Genomic DNA, 17,151 nt, shown 5'->3' with positions numbered 1-17,151 from the left:
ATTGTTGAGTTTATTTTATTTTGTCACCTGTGCAAATTTTAAAGACCAAAGCTGTGTCACCTAATATTATAGGACCATGAAAGCTAACTCTGCTTATCCATTCTGGTTGAATCAGGTTTGTTTTGTTCTCCAGATGGGGACATTCATAGTAAATTGGAATAGTCATGACCGCAGAAGGAATATTCTTCTTCTGCATAATTCTGCATCACTCTGGAGGCCTGGTCTCTCTCTACTGCATCACTGAGCTTTGCTTTGTATTAGTTGATTGAACGTGTATCAGGAATAGTGGAGAAGTTTCCATGATTGATCTTGTTGTTGTTTTCATTGCCATTTTTTAAAGGTTGATGAGAATTTTAGCTTGTGCCGAAGCTCTTACAGATATCAAAATAGCCATGGGTGAAAACATTGTTCAGAATTTCTGCTTTGTTAGCAACAAGGAGTGATGGTTCATCTGGCTCTATCACTATTACTTCTAAATAGAACTATAATTTTTGACACTGTGAATAGGACATCTGGGGAGGAAATGCTTGTTTGTATATATAAAATCAAATATATTACCCCGGCCATCAAATGAGACCACTGACCAGAGTCAAAGTCTTGTATTTTACTTACTACAGGAATATCATCAAAGGGGAGAAGCAATATTTTCTGAAATTTGTGAACACATTATAACCCACTGCCTACATTTCAGAAGCAGTATTGGCTTTTTTAAAACTAATGCATTTTCAACATGTTGGTGAATTTATAACTCACCCTGTCCCTTTAAATAAAGCATATGTCTTCGCTAGAAATGCAAGCTGTATTTCAACTTGGAAGTCCAGGGGCTTATTATGAGATTGCGTATATTTTTAAATGAAGGTCAATTTTTTTTTTACTAAATTGTTTGCCTGACAAAATGTTTACACCCCAAACCTTGACAAATATCTTTATTCAGAATAGGTTTATGTTTTCCCATCTCAAATTGAACATTAGAAATACTACTGTAAGTTTGTCCAATTTATACACATAAGATATATTTTTGTAAGAAAGCCTTGGCATAAATACAACTTAGGAAAAAGTAAACTTGGCTTAAAACTTAAATCTGAACATTGCTCATGTGTAACATGAAATATTTTAAATTATAAAAATGCATGTGTGTTTGTTTCTGTTTTATTTCTAAGTAAACTGTAAGTCTTAACAAGTGCATAAATATTAATTTGGGAATAGGTATTTGGAAATGCCTAATAGATAAAGTCATATTCTTTGATATCATGTTACGTGTAATGATATATAAAATTGACTTAGTGGACATTCTATTTAATTAGAACATGGTTTAAATGGATACTTTAATATGTGTAGGCATTACTCTTGCTGATATTTATTTGGTGTTATTTGTTATTCATGCTATTTTAATATAAGTTGCAACAAATTCTTCTTCTTCTTCTTTCTTTTTTTTTTTTTTAAGATGGAATCTCACTCTATTGCCCAGACTGGAGTGCAGTGGCATGATCTCAGCTCACTGCAACCTCCGACTCCTGGGTTCAAGCCATTCTCCTGCCTCAGCCTCCTGAGTAGCTGGGATTACAGGCGTGCGCCATCACATCTGGCTAATTTTTGTATTTTCTTTTTTAGTAGAGATGGGGTTTCACCATGTTGGCCGGGTTGGTCTTGAACTCCTGACCTCAAGTAATCCACCCACCTTGGCCTCCCAAAGTGCTGGGATTACAGGCATGAGCCACGACGCCTGGCCAACAAATTCTTCTTAAGTACAGTGAAATTCACTATTTCAGCAAAATCTGCTCAGCAGGTTATAAGAATTGTTTGCTTTTCACTTTGGAAACATTCAACATTTAGAGTTAGTGAAGATGGTATGAGTTTGGCACTGATATTGTGAAAATCAGAAACATGAGGTAGATCTCATATTTCTTAACTTACATTTCATAAGTGGTTGGTTGAGGAGTTACATAAACCATAACGTGCAGTGGGATAGCTGTTGGGAACAGTCTTTGCATAGACATTTGGATGTGTTCTGGGTGCTTGTTCACATTTATTTATTGTTTCTTTTATTGAACAAACCCCCTTTCTCATAACTTAAACTTTTTAAGGGTATGAAACATTATTTCATTCTTATTTCATTTTGTTACTTATATTCATTGCAGGAATTTTCAATGAGGGGAATGTATATATTTTTGTGAACAATTTAATGAAAAATATCTAAAGAAAATATTAGTAAATCAGGAGAAGGTTGGAAGATAAAGTTGAGAAAGTTATATAGAAGAAAAGATAAAGCTGGAAAATAAAGACAAAAGTTAAGTTAGAGGATTAACCCAGAAAGCCCACTATCCTACAAATAAGAATTCCACAAAGAGAGAACAGAAAAATGAAGAGAAGACAATTATCAAAGAAACATGAAAAACTTCCTGAACTGAAGGTCTTGTGTTTCTACATCCAAAGAGTCCACAAAATACCCAGCCCAATGAATAGCCAAGGCCCACCTAAGACAGATCACTACAATTTCAGAACATCAGCGATAAAAAAGAATATCTCTAGAGAGGGAAGAAAAATTAAAAACCAGGTCACATCTAAAGAATCAGAAATTAAAATGACATTTCTTAATAGCATCATTGGAACTTATAAGAAAATGGAGCAATGCCTTCAAAATTCTAAGTGATGAGGGTTTCAATCTGAAATTCTAGACCCATCTTGGGCAGATATCACAGACTGGTGCACTCAACACCCACTCCCTCATCCCCTTCCTAACAGCTTTCCTCTGTTTTAGACACTAGAAAGAAAAAACTGTATTTCCCAGGCTCCCTTGCAGCAGCAGCTCTGCATGTCACTGAGGTCCATCAGGCAAACTCACCCAGGAGAGATTTGGGCATTGGAGACAAGAAATGGTAACCACACAGAGGTAGTACATATTCTGGGGCACCTGCGGCAAAGGCTCTGCTATCTGTGTTTCTCATCCTTTTTTCTTTCATTATTGCTCCTCTGTGGAGCTTTTTTAGAAACATTTTCCTTTAACCACCCTACCCACGAAATTTGAAGATCATAGATATATTGTTTACCTATTTATGTACTATATAAATATCTATTACTCCCAATCTCCTAAAACCAATTTTCACCGCCATTGACAATGCATGTACTATCTGGTCCCTAGAGTTGTTACGTACCAAACAGCAAGTGGCGGGGGCTGTGGGATTACTATTAGAGCAGTCCTACGGTGGGACTGGGTGTTGTTCCTGGGTGTGTAACATCCAGGTGTCCCATTATGGGAGAGGAATGAAAGGAATCCCTCCATCACACCAAAGGAAAATCCTTGGCTGCAGGCTTGCTTTAGGGCTTAAGAGTGGCCAGGACAGAGTGAAGCAGAAGAACACAGGGGTCCAGGATACCCAGAAAAACACAGAACTAATAGATCACTCTGTGCACCTGGCCATGTTGATAGGAGTTCTAGAGTTCTGTGGTAGGATTTGGAAATGAATTCAAATTAATGATACTTACATAGAAAACTGAATGATTAAGGAAAGGCAACTGTTAGCTCCAGGAAAAACACGAAGTTGTAGAGGAATGAAAACATAATCATAATATACTATGTGGCTCCTCTCTGAATAATATCTATGAGTTCATAATAATGGAAACACTAAATATTTGTTTTGCCCAAAGTAGTAATATATTAGGAGAATCAGGTTGAAAGGAGAATGGGAAAATAATTCTATTCTCATCATCCACAGTTAGGTTGTCAATGTACAATGTTTAAAATGGAAAAGTCCTGAAATAGCACTATAAACATCTTTTTTTTTTTTTTTACCCCAGAAAATGTGAAGGTCAATTCCAATAGAAATAGTTAAAAGAGTTGAAAGTGTTGGCCAGGCAAGGTGGCTCATGCCTGTAATCCCAGCATTTTGGGAGACAGTAGTGGATCACTTGAGGTCAGGAGTTCAAGACCAACCTGGCCAACATGGTGAAACCCCGTCTCTATCAAAAAAAAAAAAAAAAAAAAAATACAAAAATTAGCCGGGTGTGGTGGCAGGTGCCTGTAATCCCAGCTACTCGGGAGGCTGAGGCAGGAGAATCGCTTGAACCTGGGAGGCAGAGGTTGCAGTGTGCCAAGATTGCACCACTGTACTCCAGCCTGGGTGACAGAGTAAGACTGTCTCAAAAAAGAGAGAGAGAAAAAAAAGAGTTGAAAGTGTTAACTATAGGAAGCAAAATTTAGGAATGAGAAAAGATAGAACAGGGACTTCTCTTTTTTTGCTAAAATCTTATAGTGCTATTTGCCTCTTAAAATTGTTTAATACAAATAAAGTGAAATCCAAACAATAAAAACAAGAGAAAAATGCCAGCCCTGTTCTAAAACTTCTTAATTGCTTCTTTTTTTCATTTTCTTCTTTGACAATTTTTGTCTGTGATTACTTTTCCTTCATAAAAGACCTTGGCTATACCATATGTATATTACTTATGAGTCTTCACCTAGATGAAGCTCTTAAAACTGAACACTGTGCTACATCAATTCCCTTTACTTCCAAATTCTCTTCCTGGTCCAAATGCTCTATCACTTGCATGGTGTATCCAGCCAATGCTGGCTCTCAAATGCAGGATCTCAAAGCTGGCAGGTTTCTGAAATTTGTAAGAAATCATAGCTACTCAGAAATATACAAGAATATTTATATCTTTATTACACATAATCAATAAGAACCCTGGACATTTGATTTTTATTTTATTTACATTAGAAAATGGATCTAGTAATGTTAGTTGTCATAGTTATTAGTACTGATGTATTGTTAGAGAATTTAACATTTTAACATAGAGAAAGGATTGTGGATTATTTGTAAATTGGAAAGACACAATAAAACCTAGTTAAATTATTTATTATGGCATATGAATCAGCATATATGAATTATTTTTCTATTTGCTTAATTATAATGAAGTTCTTAATAGAATACGATATATTAAGGGCCCAGGGCAATAGTTCTTAAACTTCAGTGGGTACTTAGGAATTACCCATGAACACTAATAAAATGCAGATTCTAAGGCTCTGACATAGAAAATTCTGATTCTTTATGTGTTGACTTGCCCAGAAATCTGGATTTTAAATAAGCATACTGAGTGATTCTAATAAAGAAGATCTTGGGACCCCACTGAGATACACTGCCTTGTTGAGTTGTATCAGACATACTTGAGTTGATTTTGTCTTTTGATTTATTTCTCAATGACACTCAGGCAACTCCAAAGGGAGCGATTTTAAGTGCTCTCTTAAATAAGTATCTAGGGACCAGTAGTGGAATATATTTCACACAAAGAGGAATAGAGTAGCTTTATGCAATAAGACCAAGTTCCTGGCTCCTGTCCTAGAATAATGTAGGATCATTTTACTGGTTACCAGCTGGATGCTAACCAAAAAAAGATAAATATTTGTGGATTCAGAGATGGTATTTAGAGAAATACTGTGCAGAGGGATGAAATCTAATGGTGCCTGGAATTTTCAAAATAATCAATCAGAGTAACAATTTTAAATGTGCCACAAAGTAATATGGTACTCCAAACTATAAATTATGCATTCAATTGCTTAGTTCTTATCCATGAAATCTTTATATGAGTTACTGTTTGTCCTTTTAAAATCCCTTTCCTACTGTGTAGGTTGTAAAGGTTCAGAATAGATACTAACAGTTAAAAGCAAAATATCTAACCACAGTATATTCCAGCATTTAAGAAGAAAATGTTCAAAACTAGTTGTCGCCCAATTTATTTCCGTTAAGTGCAAAACTCTGTTAATGCTTTCAGGTGAGGTAGGCCAGGAATTTATTAAATCACTTAACGTACTCTTTATACCCTATATTTTAGCCCTCAGTGTTTTTTCCCCCTCAATCTGGAGGAATAAGCTGACTAAAGCAACAACTTATGTTTTGTTTGTTTGTTTGTTAGATTTTGTTTTAAGTTCTGGGATACATGTGCAGGACATGCAGGTTTGTTACATAGCTAAATGTGTGCCATGGTGGTTTGCTGCACCTATCAACCCATCGCCTAGGTATTAAGGCCAGCAGGCATTAGCTATTTATCCTGATGCTCCCCCTACCCATCCCCCAACCCCCGACAGGCTCCAGTGTGTGTTGTTCCCCTCCCTGTGCTCATGTAACAACTTGTTTTTAATCTACCCTTCTATCTAGCATATGGTACCTATGATGATAAATGTAACCATATGCTGTAAGACATAATGGTGATGATGATGATGATGAAGGTGCTGCTGCTGCTGATGAAGGTGATGATGGCTAATATTTATTGAGCACTTACAATGTGACAAGCATTAAGTGTATTATTTGAACACCACAACAAATCATTATTACTCCCTTTTTATAGATGACAAGATTGAGGCCCAAGGAGGTTAAGTAACTTTCCCCAAATCAAATAAGAAGGCCTCGAACTTAAGGCAGTCTCATTTCTCATTCCAGTGCCCAACTTCTTTATCTATTGCTTTCTATTAATGTAACCCTCCCCACCCGATGCCTCAACAAAGTTAAGGACAAAACTTCAGATGAAGTATCTAATAAAGGACCCTCCTTTCGTGTTATTTCCACCTGATCTACATCTTCACTTTGGAAGTGGCAACCCATTATTTGTAAATTTAATAATAAATTGGTTTAAGCTTCCTTGGGAACAATATCTCTTTCATGATAGGTTTACCTTTAAACTTAATGTTTTGTGGTTTTAATAACAACTGTCTTGTGATAAACAGTATTTTAGGCCTAGATGAGAATGTAAATAAGAGGGAATAACTATTTGATTTCAAATGGAAAATAAATTAAAAGATAATTTGATGAGCTTGAAACCAGACTATCATCTGATTATAAGGCCATTCCTTAGCAGGTAACTCATGTTTATCCAGAGTCATCCATCCTGGAGAGCAAGTTCTTTGGCAAGAGAACCAGGTTAGATGTGGTAACCCCAGACATGATGGGAAGAGATGACTCTCATTTCTAATTTTTCACTGGCTAGAACTCTGACATTAGTTAGGACACTGGTATTGTAATCTGTGGACCAAAACCCAGCATCTATAAAATGACAATAAGGGAGGAAGGGTTTAGGCATAAAATACCCATAACAAAATATGCAGTTTGACACATTTACTTCTAAAGAGGGAATTCTGCTGAAAGTGATAGGCTGCTGGGGACTACACAAAACTCTTCAGCAGGCTGGAGAATAACTTACAGCTTTCTCTTTGTCACAGAGCTGGCAGCAGAAGAGGGTGGGTGTAACTCCTCCCCTAGTAGCCAGACTACACTGTTTAGCAGAACAGTGATATGTCAACATGTATCAGAAGGGCAACTCTTCTTACAATTATAGATAAACAGAAAGAACCTGGAATATTAGGCGAACTGAGAAAATGAGGCCTTCTTCCCCAGTGCAGTGACCCCAGCAGATGCAATAAATGCTGCTAGTGGTGACGGTGATTATGATGAACCCTGGGGAGGCTACAGCAATTTATATTTAAGGTGTTTCATAATTTGGACACAAAAACTATTATGCAGATATGCAAAAGCATGAAAAAGCTTGAACTTTATTTTTCTGTACCTAGGAATCAGGGGTTGGAGGCTGCATGCTCATGTTGTAATAAATAAGCATGAAAGGGGTGTTCTTTGTATTGAGATTTGACTCAATCATATAAAGATAAAAATGCCAAATAAATCTATGAGGAAAATAAAATGTTTCCCAAGATGCGCAGATATAAAACAGAAATCTTTGCAGTCCACCAAGAAATAATAGGCATTTTTAAGGAGAAAGACTGATTAGAGACGTAATACATTTGAGGTAGTCCTGGAACCTGTGGAATAATTAGAAAGCAGTGCTATTCCCAAACTGATGAGTAATAGTTTCATTTGCATCTTTTAGCCTAATTTAAACCTAGACTGTGGTCTCACAGAGACAGAGAAAGTCCCAAAAATTCTTGGGAATCATTTAATTTTAGAGGAAGAGGTGACAATTGAAATCATTTATTTAACAAATCTCTTAACATGTTCCCAATGAAATTGAAGATGAGTGATTTGTTTGCTGGTACAGTCCACGTCCGTGGTGGAGCCAGAATACAGTGGAGCCAGGACTTCTCCTACTGTGTTTGCTACCTCTTGTTCAGCCTACTTTGTGATTTCCTAATTGAACTATGTTAGGTCTTAAAGGGTGACATTCTCGTTCCATTTTCTAGTCTCAGGCTAAGGTTAGCTTGCAAGTGCTTAAAGATGCCCCTCTAGTTAACTTGGGTTGTTATTATGTGTATGGTTCAATGTTCTTCATCCATCAAAATTATTCCAGGGTATAGGAACATAGAATAGGCAAAATAATTGCCTGAGAGATGGAATTTCATGGCACATACTATTTTTACAAAACAAAAGCAGCTTGGCAGATTATTCATTTCTTCCCAGTGGTTTCTTCAATGTTAAAAATAAGTTGGGAAGGAAACATCTCATTTTAGCAATCTTTAATGATCACAGCGATTTTAGGAGGCGAGGGCAATGAACCCAGGACAAGAGCACTGCCGCACTGCCATCTTACCACACGTGGATGCTGCCTGGTGCTCCTGTGCCTTTGTCTAAGTAACTCTTGTTAACAATGTGGCTGCTATATTGAAATCCCTTTACTACTAGTTATTATTTCTCAGACTAACAGTACTAGTAACTTTAAAAATAATTGAGTCTATGATTAAGTTCATGCTCATAGTCACAACACTCCTATGAGGTAGGATGAACAGTTACCATTATTCATATTTAACAATGGGAAACTTAAGGCACAGAGAAGCTAAGCCAATTTCTAAAGTTCATAGCTATCTGGTGGAAAAGTTAGGGTTAAAATTCAGGTCTTTTAACTTCAAGCTAAGCTTCTTTCTTACAGACATATTCCTTTGATTTTAACATTAAAAAAAGAAACTTCCTTGATACTTTTCTTGTAACATGTGAATTTGTGAATACGACTGTTTTCTTCTTTTGATTACAGGCATCATTTATCCTTTACGTCACCCCACATAGCTCCTTGAACATAGTAAGTGGTCAATAAATGTTTTAACACAAGAATTGCTCTTTATAGGATGGATGTTACCCAAGGTAGGGCAGTGAGGCATTATATACAATTAGTTTAATTCTTTTCTCTTTTGTCTCCACTGAAGAGCTTCTGGTATAATTAGCAGATACTGGTCAGGCTAATTGTATGGCCTGCACACAGTTTATGCTACCATCAATGAGTTATCAGCTTAAAATGCCAGCTTCAATTCTTCATTAAAAACATGAAGAGGTAGTATATTTAATACGAAACAAATGGTTTCCATTTTCAGAATTATACTAAATTTCTTGGATTAATATTATGTGTCAGCTTGACTGGGCTAAAAGGTGCCCAGATAGAGCTATTGAAACATTATTTCTCAATGTGTATTTGAGCATGTTTCCTGCAGAGATCAGCATTCGAATTGGTACATTGAGTAAAGATTTTCTCACCCACGTACCCCGGCGTCATCACATCTGCTGAGGGCCCAAATAGAACAAAAAGGTGGAGGAAGGGTGAATTCACTCTGAACAGGGACATCCATCATCTCCTGCCCTCGGATATCATTGCTCCTGGTTCTCAGGCTTTTGGACATAAACTGAACTACACTGTTGGCTCCTGTGTTTCTCAGGCCTTTGGGCTTGGACTGGACCTACACTACTGGCTTTCCTCGGCCTTTAGCTTACAGATGGCAGATGATCGTGGGACTTCTCAGCCTTCATAATCTCAACCCAATCTCTCATAATAAACTTCTGTCTATCTATTTCCATATCTATTTATTATCTATCTATCTATCTATCTATCTATCTATCTATCTATCTATTCTATCTAGAGTTCTCCAGAGAAGCAAAACCATATCTATCTCCTATTGGTTGTGTTTCTCTGGAGAACTCTAATATAATCTTTCTTAAGTTTTATCATGCACCAAGCACTGTTCTGAGCTCTTCATATAAGTACACCTTTATAACCTCATAAACTATGGAGTTGGTGCCATTATTACGCTCATTTTTACATGAGGAAATGGAGACTTAGAAAGGTTAAATAACTTGCCCAATATCTTGCTGCTAATAAATGGAAGAGACTAGGTGTGTTTGATTCCAAAATCTAAGCTATTATTACTACTATACTATATTTTACCTATAGTTTTGTAACTCTGACACAGCAAAATTTTCCCAGATGGCTAAAATCTTCCCTATTCTCTCTCTCTCTCTCTCTCTCTCTATATATATATATAATTTATTTCTTTATATTTTTTGAGACAAAGTCTCACTCTGTCACCCAGGCTGGAGTGCAGTGGTGTGATCACGGCTCACTGCAACCTCCTCCTTCTGGGTTCAAGCAATTCTCCAGCCTCAGCCTCCTGAGTAGCTGGGACTACAGGTGCCTGCCACCATGCCCGGCTAATTTTTTTTGTATTTTTAGTAGAGACGGGGTTTCACCATGTTGGCTGGTCTGGAACTCCTGATCTCAAATGATCCACCAAACTTGGCCTCCCAGAAGTGCTGGGATTACAGGCGTGAGCCACCATGCCTGGCCTATTTATTTTTTTGAGACAGGGTCTCACTCTGTCATCCAGGCTGGGGTGCAGTGGTGCGATCACAGCTCACTGCTGGGATTACAGGCATGAGCCACAGCGCTCAACCATTCTAGATATTAAATAATTTCATGTAGTTACCCCAAATACAGATTATGTTCTGTCATGTCTGACTAAAATAAAAATTTAGCTTAAGGAAACTCCTTTCTGCAGACATTATTTGTTCTAGCTCTGAGATTGTATCTCCATGCTGCTTACTTTAGGTTGCAATATGTTCCCAACACCCACCTTTCAAGTTTTTAAAATGGCATTTCAATTTTTTCTTCAGTTTGTATGCTCAGCCACCTGTGCGCTTCCTCTACTTTTCTAAAGTGAAGAAAAGGAAAAAAAAATGGTTTCTTTCTAATATAATATTAATAGGTCTGGGTTTTTGGATTAATATACTGTAATAAGCAGCTCTCTAATTGATTACAAATCCCACTGGAACACTCCCCTGGGGGAATGAAGGTCCTGTTCTTTTTACTCTTCCTTTTATCCTCTATTCCATTTCAGCTGAGAATCCACCAAACTAGGATTGAGTCGACCAGTGAAAGGATTCTAGGCAAGACGGGATTGCACTGATGAGTTCCACTGCCTCCTTTTCAGAGAGACAAACGTAAGCCCACAGACTGATTACTAAGGCAGGTGTATTTTTATCTGTGCTGCCTTCTTATTCAAGACTCTAAGCTAGTCATCAACCCAATGGTATAACTGATAGCTGACGGGAGTTTCTGGAATGGGTGTTAAGTGTGAGAGAGATGAAGGCCTAGTGATAAGGTCGGCTCTAAATGTAGATTTACTTGGATTCCAATCTACTTACCAGCTGTGTGCCCCTGGGCAAGTTACCTCTTCTGTGACTCAACTTCCTTGAAGGAGGGTGTGTAAAAGTGTCTATTTCACACGGTTATTGTGAGGATTAAATACCAAAAGTATTAAAGCTGTGGTTAAACTCTCAGTAAACATTAGTTATTTCTACCAAAGTTAAACTGCCAAATCCTTGAGTCTTGATTTGTCCTCATAACTGCTGTGGCATTTCTCCTCTTTTAAAGTCTTCTGAACAGAAGTTGACGTTTGCATTTTAAAGGAACTCAAATGGCTTACTTTTACGAAGTTGGGGGGATTATATATACACGTGACCCGCCAGGGTATGTAAACCTGGCGGACTTCAACAGTCTGGGGGTGCCTGCGCTCAAGGGGTGAAGGGATGCTTAGAAACTTTCTCAGGAAGAAGGTGGGGCCTTCAACGAGGGCGGCTGGCTACAAAGAACTAAACTTTCACACAGCAAAGGGGAGCCGGTCTCCCTGCGCCCGCGGGCGTCGAACCCAGGCCCAGCTCTCACCACCCAAAGGCCCGGGTGCGGCTGCAGGGTGACGAAAGCGTCAGACCCCGGGGCTGCTCTCAGCTTTGGGCTTTCACCCGGCACTCTCCCAGACAAAGGGGCTTCTCAGCCAGGTCGCTGTTTTGGTTTGTCGTCCTCCCAGCCCCCACCTTCGTCCCCAACTTCCCCTGGCGCTGGCTCGGCGGCGTCCCTCACATCGTCCCTCCGGCCGCCACCCCGGGCCCCTTTGTTGTCTGCCGTCTCTCCCAGAGAGGGGTGGGGGGCCGCGACATTCCAGGGAGGAGAAACCGAGGAGTGAGGGGCAAAGACGCTCTTCCATGCTCTCACCCGAGGAGCGCGCCCCACGACGCTGGCCAGCCGTTCTCCGGCGACGGCCCGGGCCGCGCCTCGGCGCCCTCGCCCGGGTCCTCGGCACGGGGGAGGGGCGTGGCGCGGCCGGCGCTCTCTGATTGGCTGCGGGCGTCAGGGCGTCGCGCCGCGATTGGGTCGCGCAGCTGTCTGGAGCGAGAGCGCGCGAGGTGGGGAGGGGGCCGCTGGAAGCTGCTGGAAGTCGGGGGCGGGGGATGCGGCTGGGGCGCCGGGGCGGGGACGACGGGGGCGACGGCAGGACGGGCCGCGCCTGTGCAGGGCGGTCGGGGGCGGCGGGCGCGGGAGGAGGTGGCGGCGGAGGGGGAGGTGCGAGCCGGGCACCGCCCCCGGCCCCTCCCCGGCCTTCCCCGCGCAGAGCTCCGACCGCGGGCGGCCCAGGGGCGGGCGCGCCGCTGCATCCCCATCCTCGTCGTCGCCCGGCACAGCGCGAGCGGGCGAGCGGCGCGGGCGGCCGGAGCGCCGAGGCCCGGCCATGGCCACCACCAGCACCACGGGCTCCACCCTGCTGCAGCCCCTCAGCAACGCCGTGCAGCTGCCCATCGACCAGGTACCCCGAGGCGCCCTGGCGCCGGGCGTCGCGCCCTCGCCGCCCCTCCCCGCCGCGGTGCCACCCGACCGGGGGCCCGGGAGGAGGGTGGGGGCTGGGGCCGGGCGCCCGGTGCCCCCCTACCCGCCGCTCCCTGGAAGGGAGGGGGCAACAAGCCGGTTATTGTCCCAGAGCCCCCTCCCTCCTGGGTGCGCCCCCAGCCCGCCATCCCCGGGCCGAGCGGGAGGTGGGCCGGGCGTTGTTGCCGGCGACAGCCCCCGGGGAGGGTGGTCGTATGGGCGTGCGGGTGTGCATGCGGTCCCTGCCCTTCGCGGCAGCGGCGCTCGGATCCGGTGGTCGGGTCCCGGAGCAGCCCCCGGTGCGCATGGACCGGGTTGTGGAAAGGGTGCGGAAGGCTGCGCTTTGGGGAGCCTGGCGTGGTGCTGCCTGCCCCGCGCGCGCCTCTGAGCGACCCCCGGAGAGGCTGATGCATGGGTCTGGGTGTGCTGGGTGCCTTAGAGACGGCGTCGATGGGTGCTAGGGGCCCGGAGAGGCTTAAGCGCTACTGCACTTTGGGGACAGTTTGCGTTGGATTGTGGCTTAAGAGAGACAGAGGCAACAGTTTGTGGGAAGGCAGACAGGTTATGAAGAAAAGTCGGAGTTAATCCCAGGATTCTTGCTGACAAAGTGGCAACCTTGTAGATTGATGCAGCCACTTTACCTCCTTGCCCAGCCCTCAGAAAAGCTCTTGACAGTGTCTAGGGAAGGGTGGTATTTAAATGAGGCCAATCGAGTTTGATGGTTTAAAGGGCCTAACGATTACTGAGAAATAAACAGCATTGTGATGGGAAAAGCAGCGCCATTTTTACTGAGAAAAGAAAGTTTGGAAGTATTTTGTTGTGACAGTGAGATTTAGGGAAGTTGTTAATGAGGCGGGGGCTGGGGGGCGGGGGTGTATAGTTAGGTGATTGCTCTAGCCCCAGGCTAAAGGTAGTTAACTTTGGAAATTTTGCTTACAGTTATTTCAAGTGTACTTAACCTGGAAGTGTTTGGACTTCACACGGGATACTGGTTCACTGTCTTGAACTTGAAGGTGCTGCTGTCATTTAGTCTTCAGGGATTTCACTTCAATACGGGATTCCTTCTTGTCCAGACGGCTTTCCATAGCAGCAAGCTGGAAACCTGACATTAGGATACTAGCTGCTTTGTGCTTTACTGTTTTAAATAAAATCGCCTTAAGTATGTCGAAGGAGTGTTAAACAATTGTGGCTTCTGTTGAAATTCCACATCGCGGTCATAACTTCTGGTTAATAGTAAAGTACCTATCCCCCACCTGTCTTGAACAAGAGTTCTAATGGGTGTCTTGCTAATAAAGTATGGTAGTGAAATTAATCGTGTATTCGAAGAAAATATTCTTCTCTCTTTATTAATAAATTGACCAGAATTTAGGGTTTTTCATCCTCCCGGCCCCGCGGAGGATTCTTGCTGACATTTCCACACTGGTGTGCAGTGTATGACCTTTTAGCATATCACACTCCTGCCTTAAATAGGCTACTTCCAGTATATCAGCAAATGCAGGGTGGGTGTCTGTTGAAAAGTTCTTTGCTGATGAGGAGCAAGGGAGATAGGTTTATATATTTACATTTCTTTCAGAGAGATGGGCACATGTTCACGTTCCCTTTTTCTCTCCCCCATCTTTCTTTCCCTCCCGCTCCATGTCTGCCATAGCCCTACCCGTCCCTGCTATGCTGAAATATTTTCTTGACTATGCTAATAATACCTATTCATTTATATAATGCTTATAACTTTTTAAAGTGATTTGCTATTAATGAACGCATTTAAGCATCCAGAGAAAGTTCTTTTCAGTACTGAAGTAAGCAGGAGAATCAAGGGAAAGTGACAGGACTTAAAATTTTTGACATCCTTCTTTATTAGCTAAAGGTCTTAAGTTGGTACCTTGGGACTACTCTAAATTTGTACAGCCATGTGTAGCCCTGACTTTGTATAGCACAGTCGTGCACTGCATAGTGACATTTTGGTCATCAGACCACATGTCTGCTGGTGGTCTCGTAAGATTATGATGGAGCTGAACAATTCCTATTGCCTAGTAAAGCTGTAGTCATTGTCATGTCGTAGCACCACGCATTACTCATGTGTTTGTGGTGATGCCAGTGTAAACAAACCTAATGTGCTGCCAGTCCAAACCTACTGTGCTGCCAGTCCTATAAAAGTCTAGCACATTGTGTATACTACACAATTAGGTACAGTACGTAATATTTGATAATCCTAAGTGCATCACTGGTTTATGTATTTACTATACTTTTTATTGTTGTTTTAGAGTATACTCCTATTTATTTAAAAAAAAAATTAACTGTGGAACAGCCTGAGGCAGGGCCTTCAGGAAATATTCCAGAAGGCATTGTTATTGTAGGACATGACAGCTCCGTGCATGTTATTGCCCCTGAAGACCTTTCAGTGGGACAGGCTGTGGAGGTGGAAGACAGTGATGTTAATGATCCTGACCCTGTGTGGGCCTAGGCTAGTGTGTGTGTTTGTGTCTTAGTTTTTAATCGTTTTTTAAATTAAAAAAATTTTAATAGAAAAAAGCCGATAGAATAAGGATATAAAGGAAGAATATTTTTATACAACTGTACAGTATGTTTTACGCTGTTATTATAAAAGAATTAAAAACTTAATAAAGTAAAAAAGTTACAGTAAGCCAAGGTTAATTTATTATTGAAGAAAGGAAAATATATTTTATAAATTCAGTGTAGCGTAAATGTAGAGTATTTATGAAGTCTACAGTGGTGTACGGTAAAGTCCTGGACCTTTGCATTCACACGCTGGTCACTCACCCTCCTAGGCTGTACCATCTGGTCTAGGTGTGTAGCAGACTATGCCATCTAGGTTTGTGTAAGTACACTATGGTGTCCACACAGCAACAAAATTGCCTAATGATGCATTTTTCAGAACATAGCCTCATCATTAAGTGACACATGACTGTAGTTTGAGTTGTTTTCTCTTTGAGCAAGGCTTTAAAATATTGGATTAATACCACACAAGCCTTAACTTTTCATAGTGATAATAAGTTGTTCTTTGAAGCACCTTAGAGTTGACTTTCTTGTTGATGAAGCTGTTGGAATAACTAAAAACTCAATTTTGTAAAATTGGATGACTAAAGTCATTTATCCATTATTTTAAAGTTGAGCAAAATAAAAATTTTTATAATGTAAATCATTTATTCCAAGTTGAGAGAAATCTTATGAATTTGTTATAATCACATAGTGTGATTCAACAGGAAAAAGACAAATCAGGAAATGAAAAGTGTAAAAATATAACTTGTTAGTATGTTAATTTGGTATGTGCTAATTAACAATGTTTTGAAAAATTGGGAAATTATAAAAGCAGTTGTTTGATGTCCGAGGAAGAAAAGGACTTTAGTGTAAGAAAAACAATTAACTTTTTACTAGGTAAGTGTGGAATTTATGAGATGATAGAAATTATGGGTCTGCATGGAATGTAAGAATGCACCTTGCAGGGCAAGGTAGCAGAAAGGAGGAAGTGTTTTGTGGTTAGGCTGAGGCCAGGGAAGGAAAAGAAGCAAAATACTTTGCCTTAGACTCCTGGGTTGCTTAATTTTTACTGAGAATTCCAGAGGTATTGGAATTTAGGTAGCCATAGTATTTGTTCAATAGGCCTTAAATTTTAATAAAAATGTAGAATCTATTATCAAGTGAAGTTACATGATGCTTTAAGATAGGAAGTATCGGCATCTGATGTTTGCCTTTCTAGGCCTTGTTTTCCAGATGACTTTATTTCTAGGGTAATGTTTAGTAGGTGGTTATGATTAAAGGAATGTATGGAGAGTGGGTTTTGAGGAGGGAAATGGACTGAGAAAGAGCTGTGCCAAGAAAAGGCCCAAGTGTGCTGTTTAGACAACATCAGGAATCACTGAAGGTATCTGTGTTCTTTATTATTAATAGTTGCTGATGTGCTGGATTTTTAAGACTCGAAAGCGAGCACCAAAATGAAACAAAATAATTAAATGTCCCAGATCAACCTATTTTTTAGAGTGTTTTTATTTTTCAATCTTAACATATCCTGTACGCTATTACATTCGATTTGCCTAACTCCCGGTTACCAAACTGAGGTTGCTATCCAGCCTTTTCCCTCTTCCTCCCTCCCTCCCATCTCTTTCTTGCCTTTTTAACCATTTTCTGTCCTTATTTCTCATGATGCTGTAATTACTGCTATGAAACTAGAGTAAATTTCCCTAGTGATGTGATATCCAGGATGGCATACTTGGCAGAAGGCCAGTTAGGGATGAAGCTGGCCTGTAT

The 17,151-nt window shown here is 40.9% G+C and overlaps 1 protein-coding gene and 1 long non-coding RNA gene across 14 annotated transcripts in view, besides 4 other annotated features; one reads left to right on the top strand and one right to left on the bottom strand.

Annotated features, from left to right (window-relative positions):
- Positions 1–7,508: 7,508 nt before the first annotated feature.
- On the bottom strand, positions 7,509–12,296 carry LOC124907728 (uncharacterized). The gene is made up of 2 exons (XR_007086199.1): positions 12,244–12,296; positions 7,509–10,903 (listed from the first exon to the last, which is right to left on the bottom strand). It is a non-coding gene; the product is annotated as an uncharacterized LOC124907728 (long non-coding RNA).
- Positions 12,315–12,774: a silencer, noted in NCBI's record as "silent region_11131". NCBI's record gives its function as "represses an Ori minimal core promoter by ATAC-STARR-seq in GM12878 lymphoblastoid cells {active_cell/tissue: GM12878}" and the evidence as "EXISTENCE:reporter gene assay evidence [ECO:0000049][PMID:35858748]".
- Positions 12,688–17,151, top strand: part of MBOAT2 (membrane bound glycerophospholipid O-acyltransferase 2) — a 150,995-nt gene continuing 146,531 nt past the window's right edge. For all 13 annotated transcript variants that reach the window (NR_135601.2, NR_135605.2, NR_135600.2 and 10 more), the window contains exon 1: positions 12,688–12,832. Coding sequence is in view for 1 of the 13 variants with exons in the window: in NM_138799.4 (NP_620154.2) it covers positions 12,758–12,832 (75 nt within the window). In the remaining 12 variants the exon portion in view is untranslated. The remainder of the gene's footprint in view (positions 12,833–17,151) is intronic.
- Positions 13,318–13,612: a silencer, noted in NCBI's record as "tiled region #6065; HepG2 Repressive non-DNase unmatched - State 20:ReprD, and K562 Repressive non-DNase unmatched - State 1:Tss". NCBI's record gives its function as "represses a minimal TATA promoter and a strong SV40 promoter by Sharpr-MPRA in HepG2 and K562 cells {active_cell/tissue: HepG2 | K562}" and the evidence as "EXISTENCE:reporter gene assay evidence [ECO:0000049][PMID:27701403]".
- Positions 13,318–14,031: a biological region, named in NCBI's record as "Sharpr-MPRA regulatory region 6065".
- Positions 13,377–14,031: an enhancer, noted in NCBI's record as "OCT4-NANOG-H3K27ac-H3K4me1 hESC enhancer chr2:9142470-9143124 (GRCh37/hg19 assembly coordinates)". NCBI's record gives its function as "activates a minimal SCP1, AML or CMV promoter by ChIP-STARR-seq in primed H9 embryonic stem cells {active_cell/tissue: H9 hESC(primed)}" and the evidence as "EXISTENCE:reporter gene assay evidence [ECO:0000049][PMID:30033119]".

The sequence above is a fragment of the Homo sapiens genome, chromosome 2 (assembly GCF_000001405.40).
Source record: "Homo sapiens chromosome 2, GRCh38.p14 Primary Assembly".
Lineage (NCBI taxonomy): Eukaryota > Metazoa > Chordata > Mammalia > Primates > Hominidae > Homo > Homo sapiens.
This window is presented reverse-complemented; position numbering and strand designations above follow the sequence as displayed.